Genomic DNA, 20382 nt, shown 5'->3' with positions numbered 1-20382 from the left:
AAAATAGACTTTAAACCAATAAAGATCAAAAGAGACAAAGAAGGCCATTACATAATGGTAAAGGAATCAATTCAACAAGAAGAGCTAACTATCCTAAATATATATGCACCCAATACAGGAGCACCCAGATTCATAAAGCAAGTCCTTAGAGACCTACAAAGAGACTTAGACTCCCACACAATAATAATGGGAGACTTTTAACACCCCACTGTCAACATTAGACAGATCAACGAGACAGAAAGTTACCAGGATATCCAGGAATTGAACTCAGCTCTGCATCAAGCAGACCTAATAGACATCTACAGAACTCTCCACCCCAAATCAACAGAATATACATTCTTCTCAGCACCACATCGCACTATTCCAAAATTGACCACACAGTTGGAAGTAAAGCACTCCTCAGCAAATGTAAAAGAACAGAAATTATAACAAACTGTCTCTCAGACCACAGTGCAATCAAACTAGAACTCAGGATTAAGAATCTCACTCAAAACCACTCAACTACATGGAAACTGAACAACCTGCTCCTGAATGACTACTGGGTACATAACGAAATGAAGGCAGAAATAAAGATGTTCTTTGAAACCAATGAGAACACAGACACAACATACCAGAATCTCTGGGACACATTTAAAGCAGGGTGTAGAGGGAAATTTATTGCACTAAATGCCCACAAGAGAAAGCAGGAAAGATCTAAAATTGACACCCTAACATCACAATTAAAAGAACTAGAAAAGCAAGAGCAAACACTTCAAAAGCTAGCAGAAGGCAAGAAATAACTAAGATCAGAGCAGAACTGAAGGAGATAGAGACACAAAAACCCTTCAAAAAATCAATGAATCCAAGAGCTGGTTTCTTGAAAAGATCAACAAAATTGATAGACTGCTAGCAAGACTAATAAAGAAGAAAAGAGAGAAGAATCCAATAGATGCAATAAAAAATGATAAAGGGGATATCACTACTGATCCCACAGACATGCAAACTACCATCAGAGAATCCTATAAACACCTCTACGCAAATAAACTAGAAAATCTAGAAGAAATGGATAAATTCCTGGACACATACACCCTCCCAAGACTAAACCAGGAAGAAGTTGAATCCCTGAATAGACCAATAACAGGCTCTGAAATTGAGGCAATAATTAATAGCCTACCAATCAAAAAAAGTCCAGGAGCAGACGGATCCACAGCCGAATTCTACCAGAGGTACAAAGAGGAGCTGGTACCATTCCTTCTGAAACTATTCCAATCAACAGAAAAAGAGGGAATCCTCTCTAACTTATTTTATGAGGCCAGCATCATCCTGATACCAAAGCCTGGCAGAGACACAACAAAAAAAAGAGAATTTTAGACCAATATCCTTCATGAACATTGATGCAAAAATCCTCAATAAAATACTGGCAAACCAAATCCAGCAGCACATCAAGAAGCTTATCCACCATGATCAAGTTGGCTTCATCAGTGGGATACAAGGCTGGTTCAACATACGTAAACCAATAAACATAATCCATCATATAAACAGAACCAAAGACGAAAACCACATGATTATCTCAATAGATGCAGAAAAGGCCTTCGACAAAATTCAACAGCCTTCATGCGAAAAACTCTCAATAAACTAGGTATTGATGGGATGTATCTCAAAATAATAAAAACTGTGACAAACCCACAGCCAATGTCATACCGAATGGGCAAAAACTGGAAGCATTCCCTTTGAAAACTGGCACAAGACAGGGATGCCCTCTCTCACCACTCCTATTCAACATAGTATTGGAAGTTCTGGCCAGGGCAATCAGGCAGGAGAAAGAAATAAAGCGTATTCAATTAGGAAAAGAAGAAGTCAAACTGTCCCTGTTTGCAGATAACATGACTGTATATTTAGAAAACCCCATCGTCTCAGCCCAAAATCTCCTTAAGCTGATAAGCAACTTCAGCAAAGTCTCAGGATACAAAATCAATGTGCAAAAATCGCAAGCATTCCTATACACCAATAACAGACAAACAGAGAACCAAATCATGAGTGAACTCACATTCACTATTGCTACAAAGATAATAAAATACCTAGGAATCCAACTTACAAGGGATGTGAAGGACCTCTTCAAGGAGAACTACAAACCACTGCTCAAGGAAATAAAAGAGGACACAAACAAATGGAAGAGCATTCCATGCTCATGTGTAGGAAGAATCAATATCGTGAAAATGGCCATGCTGCCCAAGGTAATTTATAGATTCAATGCCATCCCCATCAAGCTACCAATGACTTTCTTCACAGAATTGGAAAAAACTACTTTAAAGTTCATATGGAATGAAAAAAGAGCCCGCATTGCCAAGACAATCCTAAGCCAAAAGAACAATGCTGGAGGCATCATGCTACCTGACTTCAAACTATACTACAAGGCTACAGTAACCAAAACAGCATGGTACTGGTACCAAAACAGAGATGTTGACCAATGGAACAGAGCAGGGGCCTCAGTAATAATACCACACATCTACAACCATCTGATCTTTGAGAAACCTGACAAAAACAAGAAATGGGGAAAGGATTCCCTATTTAATAAATGGTGCTGGGAAAACTGGCTAGCCACATGTAGAAAGCTGAAACTGCATCCCTTCCTTACACCTTAAACAAAAATTAATTCAAGATGGATTAAAGACTTAAATGTTAGACCTAAAACCATAAAAACTCTAGAAGAAAACCTAGGCAATACCATTCAGGACATAGGCATGGGCAAAGACTTCATGACTAAAACACCAAAAGCAATGGCAACAAAAGCCAAAAGTGACAAATGCGATCTAATTAAACTAAAGAGCTTCTGCACAGCAAAAGAAACTCCATCAGTGAACATGCAACCTACAGAATGAGAGAAAATTTTTGCAATCTACCCATCTGACAAAGGGCTAATATCCAGAATCTACAAAGAACTTAAACAAATTTACAAGAAAAAATCAAACAACCCAATCAAAAAGTGGCCAAAGGATATGAACAGATACTTCTCAAAAGAAGACATCTATGCAGCCAACAGACACGTGAAAAAATGCTCATCATCACTGGCCATCAGAGAAATGCAAATCAAAACTACAATGAGATACCATCTCACACCAGTTAGAATGGCGATCATTAAAAAGTCAGGAAACAACAGGTGCTGGAGAGGATGTGGAGAAATAGGTACACTTTTACACCATTGGTGGGAGTGTAAACTAGTTCAACCATTGTGGAAGACAGTGTGGCAATTCCTCAAGGATCTAGAAGTAGAAATACCATTTGACCCAGCCATCCCATTACTGGGTCAAAACCCAAAGGATTATAATTCATGCTGCTATAAAGACACACGCACACGTATGTTTACTGTGGCACTATTCACAATAGCAAAGACTTGGAACCAACCCAAATGTCCGTCAATGATAGACTGGATTAAGAAAATGTGGCACATATACACCATGGAATACTATGCACCATAAAAAAGAATGAGTTCATGTCCTCTGTAGGGACATGGATGAAGCTGGAAACCATCATTCTGAGCAAACTATCGCAAGGACAGAAAACCAAACACTGCATGTTCTCACTCATAGGTGAGAAGTGACCGATAAGAACACTTGGACACAGGATGGGGAACAGCACACACCGGGGCCTGTCATGGGGTGGGGGGAGGGGGGACGGACAGCATTAGGAGATATACCTAATGTAAATGACGAGTTAATGGGTGCAGCACACCAACATGACACATGTATACATATGTAACAAACCTGCATGTTGTGCACATGTACCCTAGAACTTAAAGTATAATAAAAAATAAATAAATAAATAAATAAATGAAGTATCAAGAGGCCAGGGATGGTGAATCATGCCTGTAATCCTAGCACTTTGGGAGGCTGAGGCAGGAGGATCACTTGAGCCCAGCAGTTTGAGACCAGCCTGGGCAACATAGGCTGACCCCATCTCTATAGAAAATTTTTAAAAATTAGCCAGGTAAAGTGGCGAATGTCTCAGCTACTCAGGAGGCTGAGGCAGGCAGATCGCTTGGCCCTGGGAGGTCAAGGCTGCAGTGAGCCCTGACAGTGCCACTGCACTCCAGCCTGGGCAACAGAATGAGACTCTGTCTCAAAAAAAAAAAAAAAAAGAAAAAATTAAGTATCAAGGGGTGCTATAGGACCAGAAATAAGAATACTTAAAGTTTTAAAAGGAACTGAGTGACAACTAGCATTCCCTAACTACATTGGGAGGAAGAAGGGAAGGCAAATAGAGGTATGAACATTAAATTCTTGTCCACCACAGCAAGAAAATACTATCTAACATTATTACCCAACATTGACAAATCAAGATACGGATAGTGTCTGAACAGGGCCACATCAATTCCTTCCCTCCCTGTATGTGCAAAATGTTCCTCGTATCAAGAGGTGGTCTTATTTCCTACCTCTTAAATCTGAACTGCCCTTAGCAACTCACTTGATAAATAGAATATACTGGAATTACCTATGTAGTAAGTCTTCTGAAGCCAGGTCCTAAGAAGTCTTGCGGCTTCCTCCTGGGTCTCTTGGAACAATTACTCTTGAAATGTTGTTCAGAACACAATTATGAGGCTGTGAGAAGCCCAAGCTACACGGAAGGACCACATATAGATACTCTCCCACTGAACTCCTACCAATGAGCCTTTAGATAATTCCAGCCTCAACTGCCATTTAACAGCACCCACATGAGACGTCAAGCAAGACTGCCCAACTGGCTTGCTTTCTCCTTTCATTTTTTAAAAATATAATTAAGAACTTACGAGTCAATGGATTTCAATCAACCATAGTCATTATTCTAATTGATGATCAAAATGTCACATTTTAAGCCAACAGAAGAGCCTTCATATTGGATCTTGTGTCCTTCTGACACAGTCCCATTAGTCTTTGATAGGTTCCTTGCTTTCTGACCCAAGATTGCCAGAACCACTTCAATATGTAAAATGAAAATTTAAATTTTAGTTTTGATCACATTTTTGTAATATACATATTATATATTTATATGAGAAATGCTGTTTTTGACATATGCATAAACCCGTATGTATATAGGAAAAAAGTACATTCCTAAATGTAAATGTTAAGTAAGTAAATAATATAATTATATAGGTTGTGAGATTGGGGCATCATTTTTTCTTTTTGCTTGTCAATGTTTCCTAATCCTCAAATAAAAATGAATTACCTAAAACAGCTTTTTTAAATGGCCTCTGCTAAAACATTATTTATCTCAGCTTTTTATTTACAATATTGCTTTTAGGGAATATTGCTTCCAATATTGCTTTTGGAAACCACTGATTTCCAAATGCATTCTTTTATGGTTCTCTTTCTACCTTCCGAGTTATCCTTTGCCTGATCATTCTTCTTCTGGTCCCTGACCCTGACTGCACTGCCCTTTACACAAACCTTCATTTCTAATGGCATATGGGCCACTTTCCCCTGGGATAGCCATGCATCTCCAAAAACCTCTTAACATCTCACAGTATCTCTCCAAACTGCTTCTCCCATTTCCTTCCATGGTGTCGTCTTCCTCTAGTGCTCTGGATCATTTTGGTCTTTTCTTTCCCTTCCTTCTCTGAAATCCAAATTAGATATTGTGCTCTACTCACTGCAAAATGAGTCAGATTTGTTTCTTCCTCATTAATATAACCACCACTATAACCATCAAAATTAGCTTCTTTGTAATCTGTCACCTATATTACTTCAAGCACCTCCTAAAAGATATCCTCTTCCCCAATCAGATTTTTTTCTGCATATCATCATCAGCTTTATTTTTCTAACATGCCAATTGTATCAAGTTATTTTCTGGCCAAAGATCCTACAACCATTCCGTGAAAAGCAAAAATGCAGGGCTGGTGAGTCTGAATTTTCACTCCACCTATCAGCTGGCCCTATCTTACTCATCCATATGTACAACCATCACCCATGTCTACACAAATCCCATACCCTGACACCCCAAGTCCTCAGTATCACCCATGAAGATCTGACATCTCCTCAGTGACTTTCCTCAAAATGTTTTCTGACCTAGAAAGCCTTCCCTACTTTTTTTTCCAACCTAAATATGCATATTTTTGAAGGCTGGGTTTAAATCCCATCTATCTCAAAAGCTCTCTTAGAAAATTCAAAAAGGCATAAATATACATATGAACATTTATGTAAAACTTATATAAACTGCAAGAATATACATCAAGTACTATCAGTAGTTATCTCTGGAGAATCAGACCTAGAAAACATTATACTTACTAAGCCCAGTATTTCTACAAACTCAATTTTTTTTTTACCAACATCTATATTCAGAAGAAAAATTAACAGAAATTAACACAATGATCTTTCCATTCCTTAAATTACTACAGTATTACTGATTGATCCCTGGATGACACTTTAATTTTTAAATAGTATCTTATATTTAAATCTTACATCCCTAATTGAAACCACTCATTCTATCCTATTGTTATCCCCTATCCCCCACCCTCCTTAGCTCAAAATCTCTGTAATACCTGGTTGATCCTGCCAGTAGGAAAAAAAGAAAAATAAAAAAATCTTAAAAAAAAAAAAAAAACCTCTGTGAGTCACACTGGGGTGCAGAACTATGCTTCAGTAATCTTGAGTCTATATTTTCTGATCCTGTACCCGTCAATATATCAATGACTCTGGGCCCATTTAATCCAATGACAGATAGCATCACATGTGACACATACGTCCATCAGCATAGGTGGCCATTAGATAAGATTCAGGTTATGCATAATTCCTTGTTACTTTATCCTTTTCTCTCCTATTCAAGAAAACCTACTAAAATACAAATGAGATAGATGCTATTAAAGGGATAGGATTAAATCTTTCTATAATATTTTTAAATAATTACAAATTCTGATACTTTATTGTTGGTAAATTATGGCAAAACTCACAAGTTATTTATGGTTAGTGTGGTGTCTCTACTCTGTCATCTACCTTTAAGGAGCTTTGCATAGAGTAAAATCTACATTTGCCATGGCCTCTGCATGACTGTGAGGGGAAACAAAACAGGATTTTTCTGATCCCTTCCGCAGCTTAAAAGAAAATTCTCCTTTTAGCAAGCGATTATGGAAGTCTGGATTTTCTTACTATGGGAAATTTTTCTACCAGCTAAGAGTGGCTAAGACCAGAGGTTTATAAGGTGGGGGGGAAAAGAGAACTAAATTATGCACCTACTACTGCTAGTATGGTACTAAATACTGACTGTTCTACCACCAAAGGCCTGGACAGAAATGGGCACCCTTTCCCTACTATACTACACTACACTGCACTGCACTGCACTACACTACACTACGACTATATGTTGGTAGGAAATAAGTTCTGGGCATCCCAAATTGGAATCCTGTGTAAAAACGTGACCGTGTTCTATAGTGGCAATGATGGGGCATTTTTTAACAGGTAATAGACTGACCCAGAGTCTCAAGCACATTTCAATTGTGCTTGAGACTCTGGGTCAGTCTATTACCTATTAATGGAAACCGTTTCAGGGTACCATCAACCTAGAATTGAGGTTTGGAAACAAAATCTATTACTATGTTTAATAATTATTTGCTTAATTGTAATCATTCAAGGTTTTTGATTATTTGCTTATAAGACAGAGATGAAGGTTTGAGCTAACACACAGGACTGGACTGCCAAATCAGACTCATGTGAAACAGTGTTCCTACCTAGCATTAAGCTCTACTAAATGTTACAAAGATAGAGACCATCAAATAATTCAAATGAAGCAGAGAGAGGTCTGGGACATCAAGGGCCACTGGCAACCCAGTTATTTATTTCCTTGCTGTGTGCCTACATGACCTTCTCCAATGAGCTGTGCCTTATAGATACTGGGTTCTCTTTACTATAGGTAATCCTTACCCAGGGACACACTGCTAAGGGCATTTCAGAGTTAATGTTTCTTCTTCCTAACAAACATCAGTACTCAATTTATCCTAAGTCCTGTTGACAAGGAGATTAGACTGGGCCACGTGCCTTCTTTTTCTCCCCTCCTGTCCCCCAAGGAAGTGAATGGATTGGCAGGCCAGCTGCTTTCACCTCTTCCTCCTAGGGTTACTTAAGAACTTGGTGACATAACTTAGCTTATTGTTAATTCCCCCATTGTCTAGTTCTCTTGCATCAGAACTAAATCAAATCATTTCAACAAAACAGGTGCATCACAGAATCTCAGAATTAGAATAGAACCTTAAAGATTATTTAGTGCAAGCTCCTACCTAAAGCTTCTGCTGATTGTATCTACTTTTATATCTATCTGACTAAAGCTATCTTATGGTAGAATAGCCACTTTAAAAGGCCTTTCCATTGTGATAATCTTCCAATCACTGAGGATGTCTTTCTTCCATAAAATAGAAGTCTCCCCTACCTCTCTTTACCACCCCATTGGTCCTAGTCCCAACATCAGAATCAATCCAGAATAAGTCTACTCCCCCTTCCACTTAGTAGTCCTTTCACATTTCCAGGGACATTTCAAGGCCATCATGTCCTTATAGTTCTTAGCTTTTCTAGGCTGACATCTCCAGGTCCTTCAATTGTTTGTTATAAGACAATAGCTACCTAATCTAATATCTCCTCTCTACAGTTAACTAGCAGCTCTCTTCCAGATACATGCAAGTTTAGGGACTTCAGATGATGATGGTCTTGGATGTGGTCTGACTGGGCAAACTACGTGTGAATTGGATACCAGGCCTCCTCTAATAGAATCTAAATTTGAAAAAGCTTTCTGTTTTAGCAGATGTGATAAATTGGCATAACTGAGATGCAATCATCTACCACCTCCAGGTCATTCTTTATCCTTATGCATCGTTGAACCTAAATGCAAAACTTAACATTTATCACTATTAAGTTCCACCCATTTGTTTCAGTTTATAGTTAGGATGAAGCCTTTCTAAAAATGTAATAACATTGTCCAATATGTTATTAGTTCTCCTTCCTAACTTTGTTTCAGTTATCTCATAAGCTTGCTTTAACATTTTTATTATGGCAAAATATATATGACATAAAATTTACCCTTTTGACAACTTTTAAGTGTACAATTCAGTGGCATTAAGTACATTCATTTTGTTATACAACCATCACCACCATCCATCTCCAGAACTTTCCATATTCCCAAATGGAAACTCTGTACCATTAAACAGTAATTCCCCATTATCCCTTCTGCCCAGCCAGGATCACACCACTGCACTCCAGCCTGGTGACAGAGCAAGACTCCATCTCAAAAAAAAAAGAAAATAAATAATAATAATATGGTGGGCTTGGAAATTGATGCATATTGAATGATTTTCAAGTTTAAATGTTTTCCAAATATATTCTAACTCATTATCTAAAGGCATGGTTTAATTGGAGAAAGAAGTGATTCACAAGGAACACATACACAAAAAGTGAAGGCTATCAATGTAGTCAGAAAGGGTGTACAAAGGATGGTAGTTTGTCCTTAAAAATTGAGGATTAAAGCATAAATGTGTTCATTTCTCTTAGAATAAGAGATCAGCTTGTCAGGTTTATTTGATAATTAGTATCCTGCTCCAGGGGTGAAAGATGAGTATCAGGAAAAAAGGCTGTAGGATTTGTACCTCTCTATATAGACAGAAGAGGATTCATTAAGCTCTAAATTACTTTGCCAGAGAATTTCAAAACGTCAGTAAATATAGTAGAAAGATACAAAAATAGCAATCAAGACATTATATAACCTATAATACCTTAAATTCCAAAGAATCTTACTTTTCAACTATTTCTTCAGTAAGGATACATTTTAAAACTGCAGGGAACTTGCTTCTATTCATCACTTTAAGTTTTACTTTGGTTCTAATAACAAAATCATTTAAGAAAAAAAGCTTACTGCAAACAGCTTAAATGGTTACATAAGTATTAAGTCAAAGTGCTTTCCAAATACAAGTTCTCATTATTGCATAAGTGATAAGAATTTCATGATCATTTACCCCCCCAAAATTATAATTATTATTATTTTTGTTAGCTTTACTTGGAATAACAAAATGCACAAAATGACCTGGGAATTCACTGCATAGAAAAAAACCTTCTTATAGTCAATGAGTAACTACTGTAAGATTGGTAAATAACATAGGATCCTTATAGCATCTGTTAACATTCATCATTTCATCTAACTTTTCCTATTTTGTTTCCCTATGAATAGATTCACTTTAAAAGACAAATTTTAAACTATAACAACAGAACATAGACATATCAAAAAAGCAACCATCTTTATGAAAAAAATTGCAGTTGCAATATCTACCTTGAGCTTGTTGGTATATTTATGTTGAAAAACAATTGATTCTAGAGAAACCTAACAAACATACAAGGAATATAAAGTTGCTAGTTTACATATGTATATGTAGAAATTTTAGATATATAATTTAATATGCTTTACTGCCTGAGATCTGTTGGAAGAATCCTCTATTAACCTTGGTCTTGGAATTCTGAAAAAGTCTGAGCAAGATTTCTCCACTGCTCCAACCTACTTAAATGTAATTATGTATATGTAATTGCACATGGAATTAAACAGAAAAGAAATATTTTCGCTGGCTCATACTCTTTGCTGTTAAATCATAAATGCATCTAGAAATACAGACAAATATCTATAGCTACAACAATCCTGAAGGTTTTAAATGGAAATTCAAAGAATTAGGGTCATTTGTCTGTCTCAAAATCTATGAATACAAACAGACACACCAACACCAACACAGACACACATAAAGGTATTATTTTAGTTAATACAGAAGATAGCATACCACAAAAGCAATCCCTGAATGCATCTGGAGATGGTCTTTAAAAACTAAGAATTGTATGTTTAGATTTATGTTCACCTTTACATCACTATTCCCAATCTTGTCTGCTAGTTAGGCTACAGAAAATCCTGGAACTCACCAGTACAAGGTAGTATGCATACAGGGACGCACAATGATGCATTATAAAAAATTTGTCACCAATCACTTTCCAATACAAAATTATAATGGACAAATCTGTAAGAAAGAAAAGTGAGTAAGGTATTACATAAGAAGAAAGTTGCACTGTTTTTCAAATGTATTGAACTCTTTCTCCTGCCAACTCATCACTGTCCACTCTGAGCCCACAGCACTTTGTTCATCCCTCAGTTAGTCTGATTATCTACTTTACCATAAAATCTCTGCTCCTATATGCCTGTCTCATCCACACTCCTGTGGCTCCTCTAAGACAAGGGCCAGGTTGTGAGCATCTTTAAACCCTCAGAATCTAGCACAAGGCCTGGCATGTAGGTTGGTGCAAAAGTAACTGTGATTTTTGCCATTATTTTTAATCACAAAAACTGCAATTACTTTTGTACCAACCTAATCATATGTAATATAATATTTGTTGAAAGCATAAATGAATAACTTGTTTCCAGAGTTAAAATAAACAAAAAATATTATTGAATAGAAATAATTTTAAATAAGCTTAAGTGACTGATTTTTGTCACTACAATAATTCAAACAGAGATAAGATGGTCATAGGGAAGGTACAAAATGACCAACTCATTTATAAAACAAATCGTACAAAAAATATTTTAAAAATAAAAAAGAATGCAATTAAATACTAATTCAAAATAGTGACGCCACCAAAAACTATAACTATTAAAAAGAAAAACAAAGAAAAAAGCTTACTTCTGCAAATTTTACAAAAACAACACAAAACCATGACTACTGGAACACATTTCAAGAACTCTTGCAAGTGAGGGACCCTAAAAGTTAAATTTCGTTAGTTTCACAGTCATTACACTTAAGAGCCTCATTAGGACAAAGAGGGACCATATCCTTGCTGATAAAAAATGTCCAGGCCTCAGTTGTTTGAGGCATCACTCTGTAACTCTGATCTTCAGTGAGAAACAGAAAACCATTTCATGAAAAGACATTTCATGTTCTACCATCATGGGAGGTATTTTTTTCCTCTGTATGCTTCCTAAATGCTATCTCTCAAATAAACCAAAAGCATAGACTATATATTCTTTGTATAATTCCGTGAGTAGTTTACAAGGAATTAGACAATAAAACAACATCTCACATACCAGAAATGAGGTAGCCTGAGGCAATAGCAATATTCACGTTTGCAAGTGATGGACCACCCCTGAAAAAAAAAAAAGGTTCCTTTTTAAAGTATATAGATTGTAGATGACCGCTACTTCTTTTTTCTATAGAGATTTAAATATAATAAAATTGCTTTCTATAGATTCTCAAATGGTAAGCTGTCATCTTCAAATAAAATTGCAAAACACACAATGACAGTTTAGCCAAACTGTGACGCATCATGTGGTACTGGTGTTAGCAGTAAGGTAACTACTGCTGTTATCTTACATAGTAAGATAGTTACAAAGTGAACTACTAGTGAAAGTAACACTAACTAAAATAGCTGGACTACAAATATTTAATAGAAAGATTTAGCACAAGTTGTGCCTTCTTTACAAATTTTGATCTGTAAATATAACCAGGAAAATTTGACCTGGAGTAAATCATGACATAAAATTCAAATCAAAAATTATGTTAAAGTTCGATAAGGCAAAACTTGAACAATGAATCAAATCTTTGTTATGAAATTTACTTCCCAAAAGAACTGGTTTTATTTTGCTGATGGTCACGTTAGTAAAATGAAAACGAAAATTTTTAAAAAGCTAGAAATTTTGTAGGTAGACTATTTAAAAACCTAGTCATGGAATTAAATTCAATAAATTAATTCTCTTTGAAAAACAGCATCCCAATGAAAATGTATCAATACTGATATTATTCTTCTGGGAATAATTTTATATTTATGAATAGAAAAACGTCCTTGCAGTCAAATGGTGGTGGTCAAAAGAAAAGGCTAAATTGCCCTACATCCCCCGGAGCCCACAACTACCTCATCTCAGTGCAGTGCTTCTTCAAACATGCCTGCTCTCTCAAACTAAGCTGAACTAAGCCTTCTCATATAACACCAGGAAACAGTTTGCAAAATTTCTGCCATTGGAATGACATTTAAATTTTTCTAAAAGGACCATCTTACATGTTATCCTATTACTACTGAACACAGTTATTATTAGTGCATTAGTGCTTCAAATCCTGTGGTACTAAATTCCTATCACATGGCCATCTGTAACTCTCATTTCATCTCTTTGATATCAAATGAGTCAAACATAAATTGGAGACAAAAAAGTCTTAAGTAGATATTATCCAAGTTGACTACCCTATCTCAATAATGATTTATTTTTCTTCAGAACTGTGACTACAATAACTTGGCTTTACTCATTAACACAGTAAAAATGTTTAAATTATCATCATATTCTCCTTGTTTTGGATAACAATTGCTACACTAAGGCAAAATGGCCTTCATTTGTGTTCAAATCTAAAATAAATCATTTAAATGCACTTTGCTAGAATGTCTGAGCACAAGCATTTTAATAAGGCATATACGATCAATATGTTTTCTGTTTTAAAGTAAGTGATGTTCTTATAAATAATTAATATCAAAACATAAATGAAATTGGCAATCTTAGAAAAAGAAACAGCTTACCAAAGTGGATCAGCTTTAGTAGCCTCATCGAATAAGAAAATGTACAGGCCAAAAATACCAACCACCAAAGAATGGCATGTGGATACTACCCTGAAATTAAACAAAATACACACAAAGATTTTAGATTCTTTGCAATAAAATTTAATCCTGACAAGACACAGAACATTCTGAACAAGTTATACCTGGAAGCATTTATATACAGGTGTGAAGTATAACGGAGAGTATAATGCAAAATTGCCATTTCTTGCCATTTAGAAATCCAAAGGCCACAGCTTTACTTTGGAATAAAGAAGGAGGAAGATACCAAGGCCTACAATTTCCTGCTAGAGAACTGGTGAATCACTTATTGGTTAAAAGTTCTAAGACAGATAAATGCATACATGATGATGCAGCTGACAGACTTTTGTGCAGCCAGATGGCAACTGGCAAGGCCACTACCCTTGGCTCCAAGCTCCAGCCCCAACAGCATCAATGCAGGATAAGTTTCCTGCTCCAATCAGCTGGGAATGACTTCCAGATCTACTGGCTTTAACAAACTCCATATCCTTAAAACAATTCGAATGGATCATGATATGAAGATTTATTATCTTGGGAGGCTTCAGTTTTTAAAGTACGTTGACATGCACTATTGCACTTGATTCTTGTAACAAATTTGTAAGAAAACAAGGGTAGCTATTATTAGTCCCTCTTTATCATTATTATGAAAACATTTCTAAATAGAAAAATTGAGGACCATAAATGTATACGGAAAATTTGTTTTTAAAAGAAATACCCAAGTGAAAGCACAATGTTCTCAAGATCCAGGTCAAGTTTTCTTGTATAGAAGGAATAAGTTTAACATAAAAACCATAAGTTTCTATGAATATATCTTGTTAATAAATTTAATGATGTGACTAATTCCCAAGCTCTATGTTACTTAGAGAACTATACTTAGGATACTGTGTATTCATCCATACAATAAAGTTTTTTTACCCAACAATTTCAGATTTCTCACATCTTTATTGAGAAGTTCACAAGTAATGAAACTTCATTAGGATAAAAAATGAGAGGTACAGCAAAGTTTTCTCTCTAAAAATTACTGGTGTGCAATAAATTTTTCTCTACAATATGATCCCAAATCTTTAAAAGTAAAATATATCAACTAATATTAGGTTTGGTATCAGAAAATTTCATTGTAACTTTAGAAACCAATATACTTGACCTAATAGTGTGTTACAAAATAGATGTATCATGCTAAATCAAGCCATATTTTAAATAAGCAAAGATTCTCACCAATTTAAAGGCATTGACCAAGTATCATTTATAATACCTAAGAATCATTTTGAAATGTGAATAATTAATCCAATTTATCTGGTTTACAAGTCTATAATTTTCATGCCAAGCACACCTTGAGCACAGGATAAAAATGTAAATTCCTTGGCCGGGCATGGTGGCTCACACCTGTAATCCCAGCACTTTGGGAGGCCAAGGTGGGCGGGTCACCTGAGGTCAGGAGTTTGAGACCAGCCTGGTCAACATGGTGAAATTCCATCTCTACCAAAAATACAAAAATTAGCTGGGTATGGTGGTACACACCTGTAATCCCAGCTACTCGGGAGGCTGAGGCACAAGAATCACTTGAACCTGGGAGGCAAAGGTTTCAGTGAGTGGAGATTGCACCACTGTACTCCAGCCTGGGCAACAGAGCGACACTCTGTCTCAAAAAAAAAAAAAAATTAAATTCCTTGATATAAAATAAAATACTCCATTTAAATGGTCATACAGCCCACTCTCTATTGCTATTCAAAAATTATATAAAATTTAAAAATATATAATCTCTCTTACAAACTTGTTTTACTGTTTGGTAACCATAGTCAGAAAGCTCCCTTTTGAAAAACCTAACTTTTTATTTCTGACACTCAGGCCTCAGATTCACTTCTCTTTTGAGATGTTATGTGGTAAATGGAAAGCATTCTAAGCCCTCAGCTGATGGAAATGGTGTATGATTCAGTACAGAAAAGTTAAATATTACTTGGTCCAATCAAATATCTCCCTCTGTAATGAGGAGGAAAAACAAATACCCTGCCCTCACTCATACACTATTCTGTATTAAAAGTCTATACTATAGTTTCAGAAACTTCTGTTAATAAAAATTTTATATTTTATTATTTAAAATCAGATTCCTAGCAAAGGAAAATTTAGATTCCTTAGTATCTAAAAAGAAATTCCAAGATATTACCCAAGATAAAATATTTCAATTTTTTTTCAAAGAGGGTGGAAAAGAAATGTTTGTGCATATAAAGGGATAGCACTCTAAGGAAATGATTAATGACTATTTTAGAATAGCAATTTTAAGTTACTAATCACAAGTAGTGTAAATATTGCCAACAGAAATTATATAACTCAGCTAAATTTTAGAGAAACATTTAAAAATTAGTAGTATTTCAACACAATAAGACTTTCAATGTGATAGGTAAGAAAGTGAATATAAGTAATTAAGAAAATTTTTTTACATTATAAGATGTAGCACCTGTAAGTATACACGTTTTCAGAAAAAGTAACAATTCAGTACAACAATTTCTCACTTTTAACTAAACTGTTGTCTCTCAAATGGGCATTTCCAGTGATTTTTTCTCCTCCATTTCTTTTTATACTAGATGGCTCAGACCACTCTCAACTCATGTTTAGAGACTCTTTCCTGATCACTAGAAAGAATTATGTGTGTTTACCTGTATGTTTCAAACTGGAAGCTGAATTTTAAGACATTTATACATATTTTACTCAAAATACAGCCTCCTTGTCCTACTTTGCACTCTCCACCTTACAGCTTAAGTCCTTTGTAAAAAAAGCTGGAGTGAGAAGCAGGAGCAAACTTGAGAAAAAGAGAAAACACCACTGAATACCTAAATGAATTTTATATAATCCCAGACTCCTTTTTCAAATAGAAATTCAGTTTCCCAAATGGTATTTCCTGTGTCATAGAATGGCAGTGATAAGACTAGATAATGCAAAATATTCTTCAATTTCATTTCATTTTCATCTTGGCTTCCATCTCTCTGTACCCTTTCCTATTTCTCTGACTTGCAGCTACCTAACATTCAAATGCCTTTACCTATCCTAACCACAGGAAAGAGGAAATGAAAATAGTTCAACATTTAATCAGAGAACGTATGTACCCCCTTCTCTTTCCTACCATTCCATCTATCTTCATATGTTAGAAAAGATTTTTTAAAGTAATGGTATCTCTAGTATAATGCATTTGAACAATATTTTTGTGCTAGTCTTAAGACAAAATAATCATACTGCTTATTTTTTGAAAATATGTGGAGAAATAATTCTTGCTTTTTGGGTGAAAAGAACTTTGACATGTATGAACCCGATACATCACTGTAAAGTACAAAAAAAAACAACTAGAGTCTTATTAAATTCACAGTCTGAATCATAAAAGTAGATGCCTGCAAAACAATTTGGTTCAAAGGGAATTTCAAATCAAATATGACCATTCTCAAATAAATACTCAGACACTGACAGAATTTCTTGAATTTTAAAAGGAAATTTCAATGAAAGATAATTATAGCAAACTTTAGAGACTTGCTGAATCCATTTTATGGTTAGTATTAACTTCAACTAAATAGCAACAACAAAAAATAAGGCCACGGCTGCTCTGACTCACTGAGGTTTACAAATGCACAGTGATGTTTGGGGACATAAAATGCTCTAAAGCACGTGAAGAAGTCATCAGAGCCATTTTGTGTTTGAAATCTTGTGAGATTAATAAGTTGTACACACACAAAAAAATTGCAACCAACTTTTTAAAACTCTGGCAGGGTGCAGTGGCTCATGCCTGTAATCCCAGCACTTTGGGAGGGCAAGGTGGGTGGATCACCTGAGGTCAGGAGTTCAAGACCAGCCTGGCCAACCTAGTGAAACCCTGTCTCTACTAAAAACACAAAAATTAGCTTGGCATGGTGGCGCATGCCTGTAATCCCAGCTACTCAGGAAGCTGAGGCAGGAGAATCACTGGAACCTGGGAGGCAGAGGTTGCAGCGAGCCAAGATTTCACCACTGCACTCCAGCCTGGGCGACAGAACGGGACTCTGTCTCAAAAAAATAAATAAACAAATAAAATAAAAATAAAAAATAAAACTCCAGCAGATTTCTATATCAATAGATGTCTAATTCTTTCTCCATTTACTTTTCTGTTTAAAAAAAAAAAACTAAAAAGAAATTTTTACTTTAAAATTATATAACAAAATAATAAATGCTGGAGGGCTCTAAATTATAATGCAAAGTTCATTAAAAGATTCATATGCACTGACTGTACACTTTGTTCCCTGATGTGTAGAGTCTAACTGCCCCAGGTCTGGCTAAGTTGGCCAATGCTGTATGGTATAAGCTACTCAAAAGTACAACTAATTTTTTCTTCCATCTTTGTTTCCAAAGAATATGTTTGTTATAAATATTTCAAAGAAGAACACGAAAGTACTAGTATTCATCCACAGTCAGCTGGAGTCTACTTCATCTTCACACACTTCCTCAGAAACTTAAGTAAATTTCTCCTAACATCTTTCAATATATGAATTCTTAAACTTTTTTTTGCATGAGATCATCTACTTGTTTTTCCTTTTATTTCTAAGATCAAATAAAAATTTGGCCTTACATTAGATCCTAAATGAAATACTTTTTTGAAATATTTTAAATAATTTTATCTCATAAACTAGTTTCTTGTCATCAATTACATTTTCATATGCTTTACCTTGAGTTCCATTCAATCTTCTTTTTGAAGCTGAGACTATTGAAACCTGGAGAAACTTTTGCTGAAAACCAGTAACTTACAAAGTAGAAAAGAAGCTGAAAGGTGAAAAAGCTGATACAGGTAACACTGATGAGCAGTTTTGTGTTGATCTCCATATTTCTTCAACCTGTTAAGATAAATGACAGCTATAAATTGTTGTCTCATAATAAACCTAGAGTAATTTTTTTATTTTAAGAAATATGTCTTGTAATTTTAGTAATTTTTAAAATTTAGAACAAATGTTAAGAATATAAACTATAAGAATTTTTGACCTTTTGTATATTTCTTCACCTTTACCATCTATTTGTCATGTATCTTATGTCTGTTTTATCTTAAAGATCTCAATATTAGAGGTGTCATTTATAATTTTAACATCATGATATTCAAAATTATCTAAGTCTTAATATTAACAGAGAATTTCAAGTACTATAAGTAAAAACTATTCTTCTAATAATATTTCAATTAAATTTATGACAAATCGATTTCTTTATCCCTCAATTTCTCATCTATGATATGAAAGAGTTGGTTACATAATTTCTAAGAAACAATCAAGCCAAAAACCATAGAACTAACACTGCCTGTAATAACAAAACAAAAAATAATTCCATAATTAAAAAACTAATTTTGGAGCAGGACAAACAACATTTAAAACAAAATTAAAATCTTAAGAAGAACACAGTCTTAGCAAAGAGCCATTGCACTGTTGAGGCAAGACAATAGGGTCTGGAGGCAGGGAACCTAAGGCCGATTCATACTGACTTCCTAGAACTAAATCAAACAGAAAAGCCCAACTTTACACACCTAACTAACAAAATAACTGGAGGTTACTCGCTTTGAAAACCCCTCCCTCACTTTTCTGAGTGGCAAATGGAAAACTGAAAGTACCTCTGATTGGTTGCTTTCCGCAACCAATCAGACGTTTACATAGGAGTATAACTTTATAACTTCATTTCAGCCTCTGATTGGTTGCTTTCCCCAACCAATCTGACTGACTGCCAGCCAAGTCTTCCTTTGCACAGAAGTGTAACTTCCCCTCCCCTCCGCCACGCCCCCAACCCCGCCTCCAGATGGAGTCTTGCTGTGTCCCCCAGGCTAGAGTGCAGTGGTGCGATAGATCTCAGCTCACTGCAACCTCCGCCTCCCGGATTCAAGCAATTCTGCTGCCTCATCATCGCGAGCGGCTGGGATTACAGGCACGCACCACCACACTCGGTTAATTTTTGTATTTTTAGTAGAGACGGGGTTTCACCATGTTGGCCAGACTGGTCTTGAACTCCTGACCTCGTGATCTGCCCACCTCAGCCTCCTAAAGTGCTGGGATTACAGGCGTGAGGCACCACAACCGGCCTAGATTGTGGGCCACTACTTCATTTGCATGGGGTGTACAACAAGTGGCCAATGGGAAACCTGTAGCAGGTATTTAAGCCCTAGAAAATTCTGTAACCGGGCTCTTGAGCCCCTATGGTAGGACCAACTCCCACCCTGTGGAGTGTACTTTCATTTTTAATAAATCGCTACTTTCATTGCTTCATTCCTTCCTTGCTTTGTGCATTTTGTCTAATTCTTTGTTCAAAATGCCAAGAACCTGAACACCCTCCACCGCTAACACCGTCACTGCACAAATGAGAATTTAACTTTTAAAACATGCTCTTCAATCACACACATTCTTGGAGCAAAAGGCCTGCAGGGCTTTGTATCCCTTATTAAAAAAAAAAAAAAAAAAAAAGATTTTTATAAAAGAGCTTCAGGTCTTAACAATCGAGTTAGCAGAAAGAATAGTACTATGCATATATGCACACTCAAAGTGTGTTTTCTATTTCATTGAGCTGAACTTTATTTGGCTCCTAAAAATCTTAGGAACATTCAGAGCAAAAAAAAAAAAAAAAAGGCACTAAGGCATTTGCTCATATCCAGCAAATACAGCATTTCTATGGCTCCATCTTTGATAAAGCTGATTCTCAAATGAAAAAGAAATAAATCAATACACATTTCCAGCTGCCTAATGCAAAGAAATAAAGTCACCTACTGAAATCAATTCACCAGAGAAAAGCCAAGTCATTGACTGCACTAGCAATAACCCCACTTCATTCCCTTCCA

The 20382-nt window shown here is 35.7% G+C and overlaps 2 protein-coding genes across 3 annotated transcripts in view; both read right to left on the bottom strand.

The window, feature by feature from the left end:
- Positions 1-20382, bottom strand: part of TLCD4 (TLC domain containing 4) — a 105091-nt gene that overhangs the window by 35305 nt on the left and 49404 nt on the right. For both annotated transcript variants that reach the window (NM_001199679.2, NM_152487.3), the window contains exons 2-5: positions 18247-18412; positions 13512-13601; positions 12037-12095; positions 10884-10978 (exon numbers count right to left, since the gene is read on the bottom strand). In NM_001199679.2, the coding sequence (NP_001186608.1) occupies positions 10884-10978; positions 12037-12095; positions 13512-13601; positions 18247-18401 (399 nt within the window). In that variant the 5' untranslated portion in view covers positions 18402-18412. The remainder of the gene's footprint in view (positions 1-10883; positions 10979-12036; positions 12096-13511; positions 13602-18246; positions 18413-20382) is intronic.
- The window catches only part of TLCD4-RWDD3 (TLCD4-RWDD3 readthrough), a 127033-nt gene that overhangs the window by 82653 nt on the left and 23998 nt on the right, over positions 1-20382 (bottom strand). The window contains 4 exon segments of the mRNA NM_001199691.1: positions 10884-10978; positions 12037-12095; positions 13512-13601; positions 18247-18412. Of these exon segments, the coding sequence (NP_001186620.1) occupies positions 10884-10978; positions 12037-12095; positions 13512-13601; positions 18247-18401 (399 nt within the window). The 5' untranslated portion in view covers positions 18402-18412.

Source organism: Homo sapiens, chromosome 1, assembly GCF_000001405.40.
Source record: "Homo sapiens chromosome 1, GRCh38.p14 Primary Assembly".
Lineage (NCBI taxonomy): Eukaryota > Metazoa > Chordata > Mammalia > Primates > Hominidae > Homo > Homo sapiens.
Note: the sequence above shows the minus strand (reverse complement) of the source record. Positions and strands in the feature narration are given on the sequence as shown.